The 20,123-nt window shown below is 34.2% G+C and overlaps 1 protein-coding gene across 51 annotated transcripts in view; it reads right to left on the reverse strand.

Moving 5' to 3' along the window:
* PPFIA2 (PPFI scaffold protein A2) overlaps nucleotides 1-20,123 on the reverse strand; it is a 501,376-nt gene that overhangs the window by 62,635 nt on the left and 418,618 nt on the right. For all 51 annotated transcript variants that reach the window (XM_024449242.2, XM_017020107.3, XM_024449240.2 and 48 more), the window contains 2 exons: nucleotides 18,571-18,725; nucleotides 5,168-5,261 (listed from right to left, as the gene is read on the reverse strand). In XM_024449242.2, the coding sequence (XP_024305010.1) occupies nucleotides 5,168-5,261; nucleotides 18,571-18,725 (249 nt within the window). The remainder of the gene's footprint in view (nucleotides 1-5,167; nucleotides 5,262-18,570; nucleotides 18,726-20,123) is intronic.

Genomic DNA, 20,123 nt, shown 5'->3' on the forward strand with positions numbered 1-20,123 from the left:
TAGAGAAGATTTCAGCATGGATATATGCTTTACTAAAAAAATTATATAATGTTACGAGGCAAGAGAAAACATTAGCAGATAAAGAATTAAGCTAAATATTTCATCATTTATATTGCTGGAGATAAATAACAATTCAATGGATATTCTATCAATTTTAATATGTTCACTGCCTATTCAGGATGGTCTTGAGAATTAGAGAGGTGAATTACTGTTGAAACAGACATCCTCATCTTTAATCCCAGAAGTTTCTATAAGACTAAGGTTCTTGGAATGAAAATTGAGTGTAGAAATGTGAGTCCTCTAGAGTAACAGTTGTCAGATAGTCCAGCATAACAAGTCTTCAGTTTGAAAGAATAAGGTAGAAAAATGAAACAAAACATTTGAATAGACACCTACTTACGGCATTTCTGAACACCAAAGATAAAGCAAAAATAAATAAATAAAACAGAGAGAGAGAGAGAGAGGAAAAAGAAATCCTACATGTTATATACAAAAGAATGGCAATCAATTGATCATTAGCCATAACTAGAAGCAAGAAGAGCCATAACTTCAAAGGTCTGAGGACAAATTATTTTTAACCAATAGTTATATGTTTCAGGCAATTATCAACTGATGTTAGGTGTGACACATATTTTCAGGTCTCTAATGACTTAAGGAATTTGCCACTTGCCCTATCATCACATTTCTAGAGATGCTGACATGTGAAACTGACAACTAAATATATTCCAGGGGAGAAAAGTAAGAAATTTAATGAGATATATAATAAAAATATAATTAACACTGATGATTCAAAACTTGCTTAAGCAAGAATGTTGATGACATTAAATTTTATTAATTCCCTTGTAAGCTCATAGTTCTTGATTCTAAAGTAACAAATTTATCAAATTATAATACCATAAATGTTATTTTTAATATTATGGGGGGCTTATACCTGTGCAACTTGAAAGTCTGTGACTAACCAAATCTTTCTGTGTCAGGTAGATTTAACTATTTGGAGCTTCCAGTTATGCTTTTTTTTTCCCCACTATTTACCTAAGCCATGCTCTACCAGCTTTACTGGAAATATGGCTGACAGTTTGATTTCTAATTGACTATTTTGTTAGTCAACAAATAAATTCTGAACTTAGGCAAAGAAGAGAGTTTCTATTTATTGTGCCCTAAAATACTCAAATATAGTCTCTAAGTACAATTTGGTGAGTTGAACCTTATTCAGAAACACAGGAATTTTGGGGGGCAGGCCCATGTAGGTTTTAAATCTGAAGGGACCATCTATCATTCCATACAGTGTAATTGTAGCTCACTGTAACCCCGAATTCATAGGCTCAAGCAATCCTCCTGTCTCAGCCTTAGGAGTAGCTAGGCTACATGCACATGCCATCATGTCTGTCTAATGTATTTTTATTTTTTGTAAAAACAGGGTCTCACTCTGCTGCCCAGGCTGGGTCTCAAATGCCTAGGCTTGAGCAGTTCTCCCACCTCAGCCTCCCCAAGTGCTCGGATTACAGGCATGAGTCACCATTACTGGCCTGTGTGGTTGGCTTTAATCGGCTATCCTGAACTTCGAAGCTTTTAGGTTAAAACATAGGCTGGAAAGCTAAGAATGGGAAATACGTTCTTAAATATGAGGGCGAAAGGTATAAAAGAAAAAGAGTGAAATTTTCAGGTCTGGTTGTTCTAAACGTAATAGTAAAAGAGAAGATATTTTTGTTAAATAAGAAGAGGTGCCTGGAGTTCAAAGAAATCCAACAGAGAGTGATGGATAAGATCTCAGAGAGTCATGGCATCCCCAGATGAAGTCCGCATTGAATAAACTATGAAGAATTATAATATTAATACTGAAACTAAATATTGAGAATAAGTGACTCACCCCTTAAATGTCAGGAGCCTACAGAGAAACTGCTCAAATTTTAAAAGGGAAAACCAATAAAATTACTGTGAAGCATTCAAAGAATTACAAGCTGAGTTTTAGTTTGACACAATTATTATAGGTTAACTATACTCTACATAAACCTGCTGGAGAAATTTATGGAATTGATGCTTTAAAGAAAAGTACAGCAAAGATGAGGCATAGTAAAGGCAAACTAGGCAGAGCAACAATAGATTGACTTTAGGCCGAGGTTACGTGTTACTCTGATGAAACAACAACAGCAACTGTTTAATAATTATCAGGAAGGTAAAGATGGACAAGACAAGATTTTCATGACTAGTGGGTGGTTTAGCAGATTCAATATTGTTGATTTCCTATTTCTCATAATAAGACAATAGAGAGAAATATAAGCAAAACTAATGCCTGGATCAGAAAACAAAGAAAAAGTAGGATTAAAGTAGGAAAACAAATCTTGTAAGTTGTTGTAACCTATGTGTGTTAAATTTACTGGATGGTAAGTGTGCCTCAAATTAAACCTTTGTTTAGGACTGCCAAGTTACAAATTTCTGAACTTTGCAAAAATTTGGAATGTCTTAAATGCTGCTCTCTGAAAGTAACTCCCCCATATGGCTTTTTAAAAAATGTACCATAATTAACTCCTCTAGAGATTTCTCCCAATTAAATTTAAAGTTACAGACTGTCAATTCTAAATAGCTGCTATCCTAGCAAATTTGAAAATAAGATATTGTCTAGTTCTGGCTATCCTCACAAAGACTAATGAATCTCTGCTATGAATTATGGGATAGTGAGCATAGCTCTGTTAAGTACTAAGTCTTGGAAACACCATTTTGCCAGTCCAATGGATAGAATTTAGAAACAACTGATAGGATAGCACAGGTTGCAACTGTGTACGTACGATCTGTAGTGCTCAACATTATGAAAAATGTTGCTTCATTTATTGTTTTTATTTATTTTTAAATAAAATTTACTTAAAATTATTTTTCATCCTGATAGAAGACTAGCAAACATGAAATCGGAACCCAGAAAAGAGTGTAACTCATTAAAGTGCACTGAAAGAGGATACGGTTTCTTTAAAAAGAAAGAAAATTGGAATTGTTTAAATGAAATTTTAAACACTTGGAAAAATCCAAGAATAGGCTGTCAACATTTAATAATATTAATAATTAACAATGTAAAATTCAATAGAAATAAAATTTGAAACCATGTAATTTAAAAGTAAATTGTCTATCTCTAATAAAACTCATTATATGAAGACAACTTACTCTCTGGTAATCCAGAAATCAAGCCACAGTGGCATGCAAATTCCGAATAGGTGTTAACAATTATTCATATAAGTCCTTTGAACACTGATTGCATGTTTATGCTCACAGGGCTATTGCTATGGGATAATCAATAATAAGGGAAATACTTTTGTGCTTTCATTAATTAACTCTGACTTGCCTTGTTAAATCCATTTGAACCTAAATACCATTAATCCATGGGAAATAATCGTACTAAGAAATGTTAGCCATTTTTGCCTTATAGAATGTTCTTAATATTCTTCTTAATATTAAAAGCAAGTATTCTACATAACACATCTTACAGTTACATTTTGCCAATACATGTTGCAAAATAAAACCCAAAGTCAAGCATGGTAACATATTTAAGGGAAGAATTAGTATTTTTTTCTGACTGTGAGGGTACTTAGTAGTTGAGAAACGAGTCTATAAAATTATTATCAAATCAACCCAATAGTGTATAAGGTTAATGATAGCTAAACTTTAAATATGTTATTTTAAATCACTGTATAATTGAAATGTTTAACTTTAGTAGCTATTTAAAAAGATATTTCAGTTGGCTCCATCAACAACTAATGAAGTATGCAATGCACTGCCTCAATATCAGACTTATATGCAATTGTGAAAGCTGTTCAGATTGCCATTCTTTGTCAAATATTTGTCTGGGAGAAATGAGAATTAACTTTCAAGGGAAATAAACTGAGTCCATTAGTCAGGCTGGGTTTTGATCATTTATATATTTTTAGACTGGAAATCAACTGCGAACATTTAAAAATCTTAACAAAGGAAAGTATTTTTTAGAAGAATGTTTTTCTCAATAAATAGTCACGAAATAGAGTATATCATTAATTGGTAGGACTAAACAAAACGAAGACATTTGAAAAAGATTATGATAATATTTAAATATATTTTTGAGTGATCAGTAACTAAAGAATAAATATATATTATTGATTATGGCTGAGCATTTGATTGTATGGTAGAAATAATTATGTTCTCAAAGTCATTTTTTTCTGGACAATATTCCTACTGAATTGGGATATATGTACATAATTTTTAGTAACTAGCAAACTAATAAACAATTAGGTTAGTGAGTTGTTCTGCAACTTGTAAGTATATACTTCCCTATTATTAGTAAACATTTACAAAGCAAGTGAGAAAGCAAAATATGAAGTCAATTGATTAGCCTGTATATTATAATCCTAAGAGCCTATCTGTTACCAAATGATGATGAGAGCAGTGAATATTCTTTCATAGGAAAGAAGGAAAATGTGAAAACCAAAAACACAATGTAAGGAATATTTGAGAAGAAGGAAAAGAAATAATCAACCAATAGATTCTGGAATAAAGAGAAATTGATTTACATTTAAAGAACATGTCCTAAAGGTGCCATTTTGTCAATGAAAATGTTACTATGTATTTTTAAAATGTTATTTTGGGAACTACTTGCTTTCCAACAGCTGCTGCAACTCAAAATTGGCCAATTTTGCAAGTCATTTAAATGTCCTATATTATATATGAATGAAAAGATACACTATCAATTTCCTGACAGATGCAAAACAATCTGCTCTGAGTCTAAAATAAGTTTATATTCAATCAGTCAGAGAAATGTTTCTCCTTTACTCCATTTCAAAGAGTAGATACTTATAATTGCCATGAGAGAAAACAAAGCTAGATGGTATAATCTCATTTTATCAAACCAATCAGGTTTTAATTTTGAACATCAATAGCATTGCATTACTTGTAAGGATTTTGAAACAAATCTATGGATGGTTACGTTGAAGAAACTGCTTATTTCAACTACAGGCCAAATATTTTTATACTCTTTTAAACAGTAGCTCATTATAACCAGGAAACATAAGCCCTGAGTGTTTTAGGTAGTATCTGGAAAATATTGGCTTCAATATAGTTCTTTTGTTTCCAACCACTCTCTTTTTAATTCCCTATAAATAATAATAAGGAATTGATAAAAGTTAGAAAAAGAGGGAAAAATCCCCAAACCTACTTTTTCTTTAGTCTTCGATCCTTCTCAGCTTGAGTTCCGAGTTTGCCTAACCCCAGGGACTCCTGAGCTGCAGCTTCAGTCTCCATAAAGCCTCCTGTGAAGAGAAGTAACTAAGTATTCAGATTATGTTGCATAGGTTGTGTCAATTCTGAAGTCAGGTTGTTAAAGGTTTAGTTGAGCAACTGTTTAGTATCACATTTAAAAATTTTCCTTATATTACTAACCCAAGATGCATAAAATGGCATGGGTACATACATAAACATACACTGAGAAAATGAAAACAAAACAAAGCAGTACCTATGGGGATATAATTTGTTGCACCCAGTGGCAACATAATAAATGTGGCCTGTTCACTGACAAGACACTTAAATATACTGTCCCCAAGTCTTAAAGTCTGTTTTTATACTTTTCTTATGGAAAATAAGAGCAAATATCTATGCAGCGTGTGAGATTTGTTTATTTTTTCAACACGTTAAGTATTTGCAATATTTCACATATAATGGGATAAATGATAGCCAATTGGGTAGGAACTCAAGTATATGTTTTCTATTACAAGTTGAGAGAATGGAGAAACATTTGCTGACTTCTAAGAGCTCTTCATAGACTGCTCCTGGAAATTTGTTCTGCTCTACTGGCTGACTCCTATGTCCTTCACTATAAATCTTACTTCCAGAACTCGATGTGTTCTGGGCAGGTTCTTGTGTTGTTTTTTAAACTTCATAATATTTTTTGAAAAAATTCTAAATTTCTTCAAAAGAGCTTGATAAAAATAGTTATCACCAAGTAGGTCATAAGTTCTCATTTAGTGTCAATATATAATATGTATACCTTATATAACTTTGTAATAAAAGGAAGAAGAAAGAAAAGTATGATGTACATTAAACACATATCACAGGATTTCTAAACTTACAAAATTAATTCATAAATTATCTGTTGTAATTGAAAAATAAGGACTTACTCCTATGTTCTGAAGTCGAGCTAAATGAAAATGCTCACTATTTTTAAATGAGTTAAGGTATATACTTTTTTTAATAAAAGAAAATTAAACTCCAGTTAAGGTCAAGATTAGGTAGAAAGATTTAAGCTAATATAAACTCTCACAAAGACTATGCAAGAAATTTCATCACTATATCAGTAAATAACTATTGAAGACAACTTTTGCTCTTCTCTCATTGTAGTGGACACTTCCTTACTTAACATTTGCAGGACTCGACCAAGATATGGTTTCTCTTTAGCAAAGTAAAATATCTTACCAAGGTGCCAAAAGCAAATTTTGATGTTACTGTTTTTAATACTTTATTTTACCAAATAATTTATAATACTGGATAATATTAACTTGGGAACATTGATATAAATAAATTAATCTCATTCCTGATAACCTTTTTACTGAACTATATAATTTTTTAAAAGTCTCCTTTAATTAAAAACACATTTATTGCTGTATAGATCTAATTCAGAGATGTGGAGTTTGAGGGCCAAAATTTGTTTTAGTTATTATTCACATGTTTAATGAATACGGGTACTTAAATCTTTTTTTATTATGAAAGATTTTTCTTCTTGGTATGGATTAGGAAAGCCTTCTACTGGTGACTAAAGTACTCTTGGGAAAGAAACATTTTCAAATGGGAAATTTTCCATTATGTACAGTGAGTGCATATTTTCATTTTATTTCTCTCATCTGTATATTTGCCTTACTGTATATCAATAAATTATTATTCATAGTCTTCAAATAATAATAAAAATGTTTTCTTGAAATGTAAATGAAAATGAATGAGTCACTTAAAAGTTATAAAATTCTTGAATGGTCCATATAGGGACATAGAGATTGATGAGGCAGACATATTCAATAAACAAGGAAAGATTTTCAACCACCAGGTGGCTAGATGAATCAGGCTTTTATTCTTCTGAGCAATATAAGAACATTTAAATTATGATTTAAATTTATTCATATACCCAAAATTTTAATAGAAAAAAATCACATTTTTAAATAATAAAACTTGAAATAAAAGCAAAGAAAAATCTAGGAATATTTTGTGAGTTAAATCTAGACATTTTATTTTCTCATAACTATAAAATAAAAAGCATGAAGAACTTAGAAATACTCGGAGTATTGCAAAATCTAGTATCTTTTTTCAAAGCATTTGATAGATAACTGGAACTACATCCTACTCAAAAATGCCAAGTACAAATGGGACGTAAGGCCATTGTAAGTAAAGCTATTTTTAAGCAACACATTCAGGCCAGTGCGCTTAACCAGGAGAAAAGTCCCAGCAAGTGCATATTTTCAGCCCAATTAAAACACTTCTGAGGGAGGACATTTTTTCACAGAATTGACCTAGCTGCTTCACTCATCTAATGTTTATCTTTCCACATACTTGATAAACTAGCTGGTAAGGGTGACCTTAGCCAAACCAGCTTACTAATTATTTTACTCTATGGATGATTATCTAAATCCAGTGAGAGTCTGTCTCATTCTTGTCTAGGCATCAGTGGGCTCATATGGCTATGTGAACTTCAGAAATATCTATTTATCTATACCAATATTTTATTCACTCCCTACATGTGACTATTAAGCTCTTGAAATGTGCCTAATTCAGATGATGTATTGTAAGTGTAAAATACACACCAGGTTTTGAAAACGTGGTAGAAAAATACATGTAATTCATAAATTTTAAGTGATCATGTGTTAAAATGAGATTATTGTTTCTATATCAGGTTAAATAAAATATAGGATTAAAATTAATCCCACCTATCTCTTTTAACTTTTCTTAATGTAGCTACCAGAAAATTTAAAATTACATATGTGGTTCACATTTGTGGCTTATATTGTATCAATGTTGGCCAGCACTATATACCAGAGTTTCTACCTGGATACAGTACATCCACAGAGGGAATGTAAATGTTTGTGTATGTTGAGGGAGGGTGCATTTTTTTGGGTATTATAATGATTGGCACATATTGGACAGGGGACAAGGATTCTAAACATCCTTCATTAAATAGAGAAACTGCAGCTTGTTTCTTTTTTCTTTTTTTCTTTCTTTCTTTTTTTTTTTTTTTTAAACAGGGTCTCAGTCTCTCTCAGACTGGAGTGCAGTGGTGCCATCAGAGCTCACTGCAGCCTCAAACTCCTGAACTCAACCCATCCTCCTCCCAAGTAGCTGGGACTATAGATGTGTGCCACTATGCCCGGCTAGTTTTTCTATTTTTTGTAGAGATGAGGTCTTGCTATGTTGCTTAGGCAGGTCTTCAACTGCTGGCCTCAAGGGATCCTTTGACTTTGGCCTCCCAAAGCACTGGGATTACAGATGTGAGCCACCATGCCTGGCCTAGCTTGTCATTCTCAAAATGATGAGTGCCTCAGAGGAGAAACACTGGCCTGTGGAAACTAGGGGTTACTCATTCTTCAGGAGGTCTATTAGGAAACTATGTGGAAAGAACACAATGAACTCCACCCCTTTCATGGCCTGAAGTGCTTGGGCTTGAAGGTTTGAGTCCCATGATTCAGCAGACTACTTACATAATAAATTGTTTATCACCTTGTCAGGGTCCGCCTAGTGGTTGGGCATGAGCAAGGCAGCCTTCTTGCCCTCAAAGTTTTCTTGGCTATCACTCAGGCATCTTTACTTTTGTGAGGCCTTCGAGGACTTGGAATTATTGAGGGCAAGACCACTCCTAAGGTGTGACAGGCACAGTCAAGGATTTTTTTTTGCCAGCCCCTCTTCCTGTGTAAACAGTTTTGAACCACCAAAAAATCAGTGGGACAACGATCTACTGATTCAATCTCATACAATACCATTCTTGCCAGTGGGAGCGAGGGATCCAATTGCCAGACCACCCTCTTGAAAACAGGGTCAGACCACTGTCTCAGGATGACTCCATAGATGCGACTCACTAGGCTCCCTGGGGCATCTGGTCGAGTGCATGCGTGGCGTAGAGTGTCAAAGAAAACCCTGAAGGGGAGAAACAGGGACCCAGGCTCCTGCTGTTTGGCTGGATCGGGCAACATGTCCAGATGGCACTACTTCCCTTCTGGTCCCAGTGTCTGAACGGTAACTGAGAACATTTCGATGCTTCCAGTGATTAGACCCCGGGTCCGGGTCTCAGCTGGGGGTGCCTTGCCCAGATGGCACTGCCAGCCCTGAACTTTCCCAGACATCAGAGGGAGTCTTAAAATTTTTCAAGGAAGTTGCTACAAAATGTAGGGCTTGCGAAGGCTCAGGGCTCAGGGCACAGGAAGGAAACTCACATGCCTAGATCTGTGGATGGAACTAGTTGGAGGTATCTATTCATTTGGATTGTGAAGGTGTGGAAGTTGTTAGAATCAAAATGGAGTCACTATTGTTAAGAAAATCCTGGCAAGTAGAGCCAGGGAAGGCCATGAACAGAGGATTCTCATGCTCCTACGCACGATAGCAACAACAACAACAACAAAAGACCCTACGAAAGCCACAACCTTGCACGAAGGCCATTGCAATCCCATGCCAAAAAATATTTTTATAGGTATATCTGTCTGGCAATTGCCTGTCCAACCTCTGACTGGTGGCACGCTTGTTATTAATTTGAGTAGCCAAAGATAATTATTTCAAAAAATTATGTAATGTTCTTAATTTTTTGCCTTTAAAAATCTTTGTCTTCCTTTCCTTCCCTGAGTATACACATAGTTTATAGTTTACTATGACATACATATTCTTATCACAATGCTCTATTCCTAAATAAACATCTTTTCTTTTAGAGAGCATCTCTATTTGGTATTTAGGTCAACAAAGACAAATATCTCCCCATTTCCCAGTCCTTAAATTTCATTCAAAATCACTTATTTCATATTGGCCCTTGAGATACAAGTCTGTAGAAATTGCTTGACAAACCCATATTGCAAGGCCTCTGTCCTTCCATTTGTCCAGCAGAGGTCTCTGTCATTGTGTGAAAAAGAGATCTCTAACTACTACAATCTGCTGATGATTGGTGGCTTCATCTTTCTTTCAGTAGAACTGTCTTCATCATTAATAAATAGCACATGGTTTGTATTAAAACACATTTGAATTTATAAATTGTTACTTAATTGTTCAACATCTGTTAGTCTGTTAGCTATCCGGAGACTGTATCTATACACAGTGCCTGGCTCATAAAGGGTATGTAACAAATACAGTCATAATTGGAGCTAAATACTACTTTATTTAAAGAAAGACCCTTTCACTATGCAGAGCATGAGTCATTTCTAATGGACACTTTGTGGAATTTACATTGTAACTATTGGTTCCTTAGCACCAAGGAACAATCTAAGTTTTGGCGTAAAGGCCGACACAGACACCCAAATTTTAGAGGTAGAAAAATACAGTCATGCGCCACATAAAGACCTTTCTGTTAATGATGGGCTGCATTTATGACAGTGTTCCCATAAAACTATAATAGCATATTTTCACTATACCTTTTATGTTTAGGTACACAAATACTTAACCATTGTGTTACGATTGCCTACAGTGTTCAGTACAGTCACATATTGTGGATTTTTTATAGCAACAGGCTATACCTATAGTCTAGGTGTGTAGGTGGCTATTCCATACAGCCTGGGTAGGTAGTAGGTTATATTATTTAGGTTTGTGCAACAAAATCCCCTAAGGGATGCAATTTTTAGAATGTATCCTTATCATTAAACAATGCACGACTGTACTTGTGAAATGATGCTGGTGTACTGCTGAAGCTGTGTTTTTGTCACTGTGAAATTATTTTTTTATTAAGCCTATTATAGTAGGTCAATGAGTTCAGACAATTATAATACAAACTGGCAGATAACCATAAAAGAATTGCCATTTAGAGGCAAAAAAAGCTCTTTAAATGTGTATATTGCTTTTCATACGCATTTAAAGGAAACTTGCTAAAGTGGCCCTAACCTAATAATATATGCATTTTTATACATGCAATTGGGAATTCTGCTTATTCATAGTTAACGTGCTTTTCTGTTTTCATTATTTTTTTCATAGCTTTGTTGTTTTGGCTCTATTTGATCACTCCCTTGTCTTGAATATCTCTTTGTCTTAGATTTGTTTCATCTTTTGCTATGCCTGTCAGTAGCCTCTTCTTTATCCTAACCATTCACTATTGACATCAGCTAAGTTGGTCAGATGTGTTCTTGTTTCTTCATTGTAATTATTAGTAGAGCTCTGTGAAGACTCAAAAGAGTTGGTGTTTCTCAGGTGGCAAACAAATCAGTATGTTAAGATGGTATGGAGCAGTTAATTTCCCTAGAAATAGTAAATGTTTAAATATTTCTGTCTCTTCTCCATACACTATCATCATTTTTCTAAGCTGACAAACTGCCTCTGGAAAACAGAGCTCGTTTGCTCTAATCCTTAACTCTCACTTCTGCTTGGATGCTTGACCCTGGAACTCAGATCATCTTATTTCTGTGGTTGGCTCTGCTTCAAGATGCTGCCTCCCAATCTCTGCAGTTCCAATCTGTCTGTGGCTGGGTAACTTGATCTTTGGTGCTAATCACTTCCTTTGCTTCATAAGCTGGCATCACACTTCTGACCCAGCCAGTACCCACTTCCTATTTAACCACAGAAAACGCCATTTCCATGACATTCTCTCTGGAGCTTGCTGTTTAACATAGTTTCAATACCCTTTTCTCAAAGATAGGTCCCGTTTGAAACTCTACCTTTACACCTTTTCAAATACGTAGGAAGATTGCACTTAGATGATCCTAGTAGAATCAAACATATACAGGGAGAGAAAGATTAACCCAGAACTCTCTCCAAACATTATGTCTGTATCTTGTATTAGAAAAATTATAATGTTTCTGTGTGATTTTTTATTGTTGCCTTGAGTTATTATTTATTCATTTATATGGGATATCCTCAAGATGTTATATACTTCTTGAATAATCGTATTTTTAATTTCTTTATGTGCCCACACTTGTTCCACAGGGATAGGAACTCAATGAAGTATTTTTTGATTGAAATAATCCCAAGAGTTTCCTTTCCGGATCATCAGACCAGGAAGTAGGAGCCAGGATTCACTATCAACTCTCTTACTAAGTAGCTGCTCTGTCTTCTGAAATCATCTCAGTTTCGATATGTATAGAATGTGGACAACTACATGATCCTCACATATCTTCTAGAATCTTTAGGCATACAGCTCTAGAAGTCTGTAATCTTAAAAGCAGAAATTTATTTTCATAGTAAATATTTTATGGTGTTTTAGTTGTATAAAGAAGAGTTGCCAGAGAAAAGACTTAAATGTTAGAGATTCATAGATTCAGTATTCCTAGGGTTGAAGTAGATCTTAAAGATCATCCAGTCCAATCAGCTTTCCAATGCTTGGATCCCCTCCACAACAGCTCTTCCTAGTATTTGCCTAGCTTTTGCTCGGCAATTTCCAAGTGACAAATAACTCACTACCTCATAAGCCAGCCCATTTTGTATAGAATTCTGACACCCCACTGTTCTTTCTTACATCGAGATGAAGAATAATTTTGTACAACTTTAATACTTTGGTTCTAGTTTCGTATCCTTACTTACAATGAAAAGGACAATAGCTCTTATACAGAACAACTCTTCAAATGTTGTGATCAGCTACTTGGTAGTTCAGCAAAGGGAATAAACACACCATTCACTTATGTTCTCCGAACGTGATTCCAATCCTCTACAGGTGCCTAATTTTCTCCTCCAACCTTCCTCCAGGTTGATGATGTGCCTTTAAAAGTACAGTAACCAGGATGGATTCCATTGCTTGGCTGTTCTTTTATCATAGCAGAGTAGAGTAGAAAAAACTTTCATATCAACTCTTATGTCTGTTAATGTGGCCTAAACTTATTAATCAATATTGACTTTAGAGTCACATGAATTTTTTATTTTTTTTCTTTAAAAACTTGCTTCCAAGAACTATACTTTTAGAGTAGGAGAATTTAGATCCCACTTACATCCATTCTTTCTATTTTTGGTGGGGGGGATAGCATTTAGGGGTAATACTAATCTTTTCACTTAGGATTCCTCCCCTTATTAGTAATCCATCAATCAGATACCTGAGCTGTGGAAACATTCATATCCAAGTGATTTTGGATGTGCTGATCAAGAACAGAGTGAGTCCTAATCATGCCACGAGAAACTTTGATCCCAGGTGACGTTACTCCACTCATCAGTGGGCAAGGATTATTTAACCAGTTATAAATCCCACCTAACTGTTCCAGCACTCAGGCCCCATTTTGACATCTTGTCCCCAGGGATGTCATGAGTGATGGCTTGCTCACCACCTTTCATTATCTGTTACTAAGTAAAGTTGCCAAACAAACAAAGGACATTAGTCTGACATGGCTATTTTTAACATAGGTTAATTTACTTTGTTTCAAAATAGATTAATGCCTTCAGATAAAATTAAAAGTCAAGCTAGTCAGGACTGCAATTATTTATGCATGATCACAGATCTTAGGGTTCATAGCCACTGTTCCTAGTTCTGACAGGACAGACAATGTAGCAGATAAAACTTTTCTGGGCCAAAAATATAGTGAAGTTTTAGTTTTAAGTATAAAGTTTGTATTTGTTTACGTACTATCTTTGCTAAAGTGAAAACTCCTCGATGCCGATAGCCATGTCTTAGTCATTTTCCTAAAGTCCATAATTGGTACTCTGCATTTAAGAGTGGTTCAATATATGTCTATTCACTGAAAGTAGGAATAAATAAATTATTTTGGATTATCTATGTCTTCTCTCCCTCCACCAAAAAAAAAAAAAAATAAATCTCCTCAACTCTGGGTCATAAATGCCCTCTTGGTAATGCCTATATTCTGGTTGAACTCTTTCTCTTCAAGTAAACAGATAGAAACAAAAATGAGTTTTTGAATGGTTCCACTTATTTGCATATTCTATTCACATCAGATAAATCTTCATTTCATTCATTTTCTCTAAATTTATACATTACTAAACAAAAGTAACAATATAGATTCTATAATTCTCACTTTGGTCTTGGTGATTTTTCCAATTGTCTGTCTGTTTTGATGGATGGCATTCCTGCCACTGCTTTTACATGTCGATGCCACTTGCTTCTATCTATTATTTGTCATATTCTCACTTTCCAATTTTTGTAACAAATCATTTCATGTCTGTTTTAGGCAGAAAACTCCCATTTCAGATACATTGCTTCTTCCTTAATCCACATCATCATAAATATAATTGTGTGTTACCATCCTCTGGAATTGCTTTGACAGTACACAGCCTTTGGTGTCCTAACTACCTTTCCATGTTAGTTAAGACTGCACCTATTTCTAGCGTTTCAGTAGCAGTGTGTTTGGAATTGATGCTGTGGTAGGTCGTAAAGTGATTGACAGATGAGGAAAGAAAAAAGTAGTGAACAACTCAGTCTTGTACATTAAATGCAGGGTAAAGATAAGTCAATATTTGGAGATAATGGCAAGATCAAGTGATAGCTTTTAAAAGTGTGAATTAGACATGAGCATATTTGAGCAATAATGAAAATATCAGAGATGCATTGCATATGGATGCATAAATTGAGGGGTGGGGAGAGATCATGGTCATTGTGCTGTCAAGTCTTAACAGGATGCTATTACATCCTGAATCTATGTTCCAGGAAGTCAGCAGAAGTACATATCGGTCCTGTTGTCATGGGGATACAAACCAAACCTGTTTATTTAATTTTTCATCCTGGGATTTGTGACATTGAAAGACAATAAATGGCCAGGCACAGTGGCTCATGCTTGTAATCCCAGCACTTTGGGATGCCAAGGCGGGCAGATCACCTGAGGTCAGGAGTTAAGAGACCAGCCTGGCCAACATGGTGAAACCCCATCTCTACTGTAAATACAAAAATTAGCCAGGCATGGTGGTGGGTGCCTGTAATCCCAGCTACTAGGGAGGTTGAGGCAGGAGAATCATTTGAACTGGGAGGCGGAGGTTGCAGTGAGCCGAGATTGTGCCACTGCACTCCAGCCTGGGTGACAGAGTGAAATTCTGTCTAAAAACAACAACAACAACAACAACAACAACAACAACAAAAAGACAATGAACAAAAATACAAAGAAATAGAAATGACTCTAAAACCAGATCCCCGAGTAAGCTAGAAGGAATGCTTCCTCTGTTAGGTGGGTTTCCCTAAATTCAATTGTGGCCTTCAGGTAAACTTGGCTTAAATTATGCTTTATTTTTCCTGAATAGTACTTACAAATGGAATTTGAATTCTTTACATGGAAGAACAAACCCTCACTGATTCATTTGAGTCTACATCACTCCTATTTATTTTCTGCCCATACACTGATACACATTTCAGTTGGGAAATCTTGCTCCTACATTATAGGTAATAATAATCTAAATAAGAACTGTAAACCCTAGTAAGAACAGAATAATTTTTTCAAAAGATATATAAAAACTTGAAATCTCCTATTAGTACCACAGCTTTTTCTATCCTACTTTTGTAATTTGAGTGAACTAACCATTTGAAAAGGATGTCATAAGAAAATTTTAAAATAAAATAATTTTGGTTGGTTTCTGTTAGGTTTATTCAATTGCTTTTCAATACAGTGCTTCCTTTGAGTTTTGGGGTTTCCATACTGATATTGTCTATGCTAGTAATACATTAGTAAGAACAGACATATTGTTGCACATATTGAGTTTGATTCTTCATGGGTAGGAGTTATCCATACAATCACATCGACTGATCCTTCCTATCTGAAGTTTATGTTATTACCCTAGCATTTCGAAGTATTATATAAAGCAAACAAGATATCCTTTCCAAATATTTCCCTTTGTGAATTACTACAAACATCTCCTTTGCTGTTCATCATTTCTGATAGAACCAAGGAAACATTTTCATAGTTTCATTTATACAGCTTTCCCTTTCCACACCATATTTCTTTATAGACATGTAGTATAGCTGCTTTCAACTTAAGTCATGTGTCTCTGCTCTTTTGAGTTAAACCTTTTAAGAGTTATAAATCTTAGCACATGGTTCAGAATTTCAAATTTGGTACTTTGACATCACTATCTCTTTCCCGTAGTTCTTTCCCTGGCATACTATTCTATTTTCTAGTTCTATTTTTACTGGTAGAAGAAAGAACACTGGCAATGCTCCTGGGTTTTAGAATTTTCCAGATCAAGACATTAAAATCATAATCACTCGAGATTTTTCCCTAGGTTCCTCAGATGCATGAATAAGCAGTACTAGGTTGTAGTCCCTGGGTTGGAAAAATGTGCATGGTCTTTCCATGACAACTTGGATACCCCTTCTAGGACCAAAGCAGACCTAAAACTGGTAGCCCTTAACTAAAGTATCAGTGGGGCCCATGTATCATTTCCTTTGGTGCAAATATGGTTTTCTGGAACCTGTTTAGACCTATGTTTTATTTTTATTTCTTCAAGTCTCATTTTCAGTAAAGACTTTGTTCTTTTTCCTGGAAGCTTTGATTCACCATTTATGTAGCTTCTACCTAGTTTCATAGGTATAGCATTTTGCTCCTGTCTTCCTCATCCATATTGCAGTCCTTAACAAGCTGCTGATTCTGGCTTTGTTTACACTCTACCTCTGCTGTTCTATGAAATAAAGCAATATTACTCAGAGCTCAGAAACTTTCCCAGGTATAAACTGTGACCTGAATTAACTTTTGCTAGTTTCTGACTTTGGTGGGGTTGATGAGAATATAATAGTAATTGAGTTAATTCTTATCTGCTCTGACCTAAAACACACAGTCAGTGAAAATGAGTAATAAAGGCTAAGTTTCTCAAAGGTTCTATACTTTTCTAGACTTTAACTTATATCTTGCATACCTTGATTTTGACAGAATATTGTTGGCAAAATTTCTAATGATTTAGGAATTTCTCATCAAAGTTAAATATGAAATAAAAATATAAAATTTTAAGTGATAAGGGCAATTAAATATATTTTAAAAGTAAAGTGTCAATTATGGCAACTAAGATGAATATATATGTTGAAATATAAATAAATATGACTATGATGTTAGCAAAATTAATACTCAAAAATAACCACTCACACTATAGTGACTGACACTGTAATATATTGGATATGACAGATCATTTGGTCAACCACTAGTTGTCAAATAAGATAAAACAAATTTTAAAATAATGTCTGGCATGTATATTTTAAACACAAAATAATCTGTGTCTCTCTTTTTTCCTCATGCAATAATATTATGTATAGCCTAAAGAGTTCCTCTACTGAGAAAGAGGAATACAAAAAGATTTAATTCCTTTGCTGGAGAACATATAATCACACACTGGCCACACATCAGTTTCCTGTAGCTTCCGATGCTTTCTGTGGGTTTCACACTATGGAAGCCAGGAAAGGCATTTTTGGATACTGTAGTCATAAATCTGCAAACATGAATATCGCAATCAGAAATTCTTTTGATGGTAGGGCAGAAAACTAAGTCCTGGAGTTGGGTATTCCTTGCAAATAATTATTACTCTATTTGAGAAACCAAAGGATGTACTAAGAAATTTGGATCATTCCATTCAGCACTTACCACTGTAGGTAGGAGTTTAATTCTTTCCCAATAATATAACTCTAAAAATTAATATATAGAAAGACAACCCCCCATAAGTGAAGGATATATATAATCATTTCAGAAATATCACAGATTCTTCTGACAATTATGTAAGTATGTATCATGTATGTATATATCTGCTTATTTCTAAATACATATTTAAGTAGTACCATTTCAAATGTACTGATCTACATTTTTATTCTATTAGTCACTGACAATAACTAATTATAACACAATATCTATTGCCCTATTCTTTTCCCCACATCCATTCCTCAACTATACACCATAGAGTTTATTAGGGGGAAGCTATGATAGTTTTAAGCAAAAAAAAATCATGTTCTTTACATTTTATGTAACATATTATAAAGCTTTATTCTAACTTTTTAAAAATTCTTTTTAATTTTTTGTAGGCTTATCAATTCTTTCAACAAAAAAACCTTTAAATCTACATAGCTAAGCTTTTATACACATTCATGCTTTAAGTGGCAGTATACTCAATGGTTTTAAGCTGATTTTGAAACATTGGCACCACGATGAATATCACAGTTATGCGATTTATGAAGACATTATTTACTCATTAATAAAATAAGGTTTATACCACTAGCATTTACTTTGTAGGCAACTGTGCCTGTCACAAGAGTTAGCATTAAATAAATTCTAGCTATTGTTATAAAGAGAGAAATAAAATGACTGAAAAGTTCACAATACCCTTTCACTAAGTTGTATTAAGCATTATTCAGCTAAATTGAACATTTAAAGCTAATCAAAATATAAATTTTGTCAGGTAGAAAAGAGAAGAAATGAAAAGAAGAGCAATGAAATGAAATGAAAGATAGATGGATACTGTGACATGACTAAAATGAGTGGCAGTGGAAAGTCTTAACACATGCATACTTACGGAGCTGCCCAAGTCGAGCTTTTTCTTTTTTACCAAACAAACGTCCTATTGAAGACTTGATTCCTTTCTTCTTGGGGGCTTTGTGAAGAGAGTCTTGGCTGCTGTTGGCACTACCAAGCCCGAGGCTTTCTGGCTCAAGAGAGACAGATAAACTACTGCAAAACACAAAAGAGGAAAATACATGCAACATCCACAAGGTACACAAAAGTCATTTCCTTTATAAAATGCACCAAAGGAGGAACAAGCAGACTTGTAATGTTGTTTTTTCCCCTATTTTCCCATGTTTCCTTTTAAGATATTAAATGCAGTTTTTTTTTTCAGCCTTTGGGCCCTGAAACTCCAAATTTCCATAAGATAAATTCATTTTTGCTCCGAATGTCTTTTTTTCTTTACTTTTTTGGTATAATCTCAAACTAATCAGTGAATATAGGCTGAGTTATTAACTGCATGATAAATGGCCTTCTATTATGGAGCACTTGATCCATTGTCTATTTATTTCTCAGAGTCTGTTTTTCTAATCTTAAACATAATGACCTACAGCAAGGAACTGAAATATAACTATTGTGAAATTGAAGCTGCTCTTCTAATCTACAGTTTTACTTGATTTTCCTCTAGCCATCGTTCCCTTTCTCAGTTTTGGAGCCAAATTCAGTTAATTTAAAATCATCTGGGTGCAATTTGGAAGCAACAAACCATGTATCCTCGTGATCAATGTATGTGTTTTCCTAATTAGAGTACTCAAATATTATTTTAAATACATGTTAAACTGAAATGCTTTTCAAGCAGTTGGTTAAGTTTCAATTTATGGTCAATATATTTGACACCGTATTAATAGGATGGGATCAATAGACATTGTTATTAGTTTCTATAGTTGTTAATTTTATAACACCATGATAAATTACTTACTTTTACTTACTCATGTGAATTAATTTGAACTCACATTCCCTAACCTTCAAGCAATAGCTTTTTATATGTTGAAATATACTCTTTTTTGGAGAGTGAAAGAAGTAATATTTTGAAGCTGAAGTAACTGATTTTTCCACATTAACAACAAAAAATAGTTGGAAAAAAGAAATGACTGCCAACACAGAAAGCCCTACTTTTAAAAGCATTTATTGTAAAACATAATATCTAGAAGATAGATATTTTTATTGAAGCATTCATCCTTAAGTCATTATATTTGGTTATATTAATTATGTGTCTACAGATGCTGCAATTGATGAGACAATAAGAGAAGATATATTTCAGATATAAACTACATGCTTAGGTATATTCATATCATCAGTGATTATAGAGATCTGTTTGCAGTGCTTTATGCATATGGATAAGACAGTATAAAGAATTGTGATGACAAATGACATATTTCTCCATCTAGACTTATCTTTTTATTTAATATTTTAGCCAAGGATTTTTTTATTTTCTAATAACTTTCTGACTGAGGAGTTATTACTGCTGGCAGCAGCAGTACCCACAGGATGCACATACCTGTCTGCTAAAAGGCACAATCATATACTTTTCAGACTTTAATTACGCTTATACTGCAATCCAAATTT

This window comes from Homo sapiens, chromosome 12, assembly GCF_000001405.40.
Source record: "Homo sapiens chromosome 12, GRCh38.p14 Primary Assembly".
Classification (NCBI taxonomy): domain Eukaryota; kingdom Metazoa; phylum Chordata; class Mammalia; order Primates; family Hominidae; genus Homo; species Homo sapiens.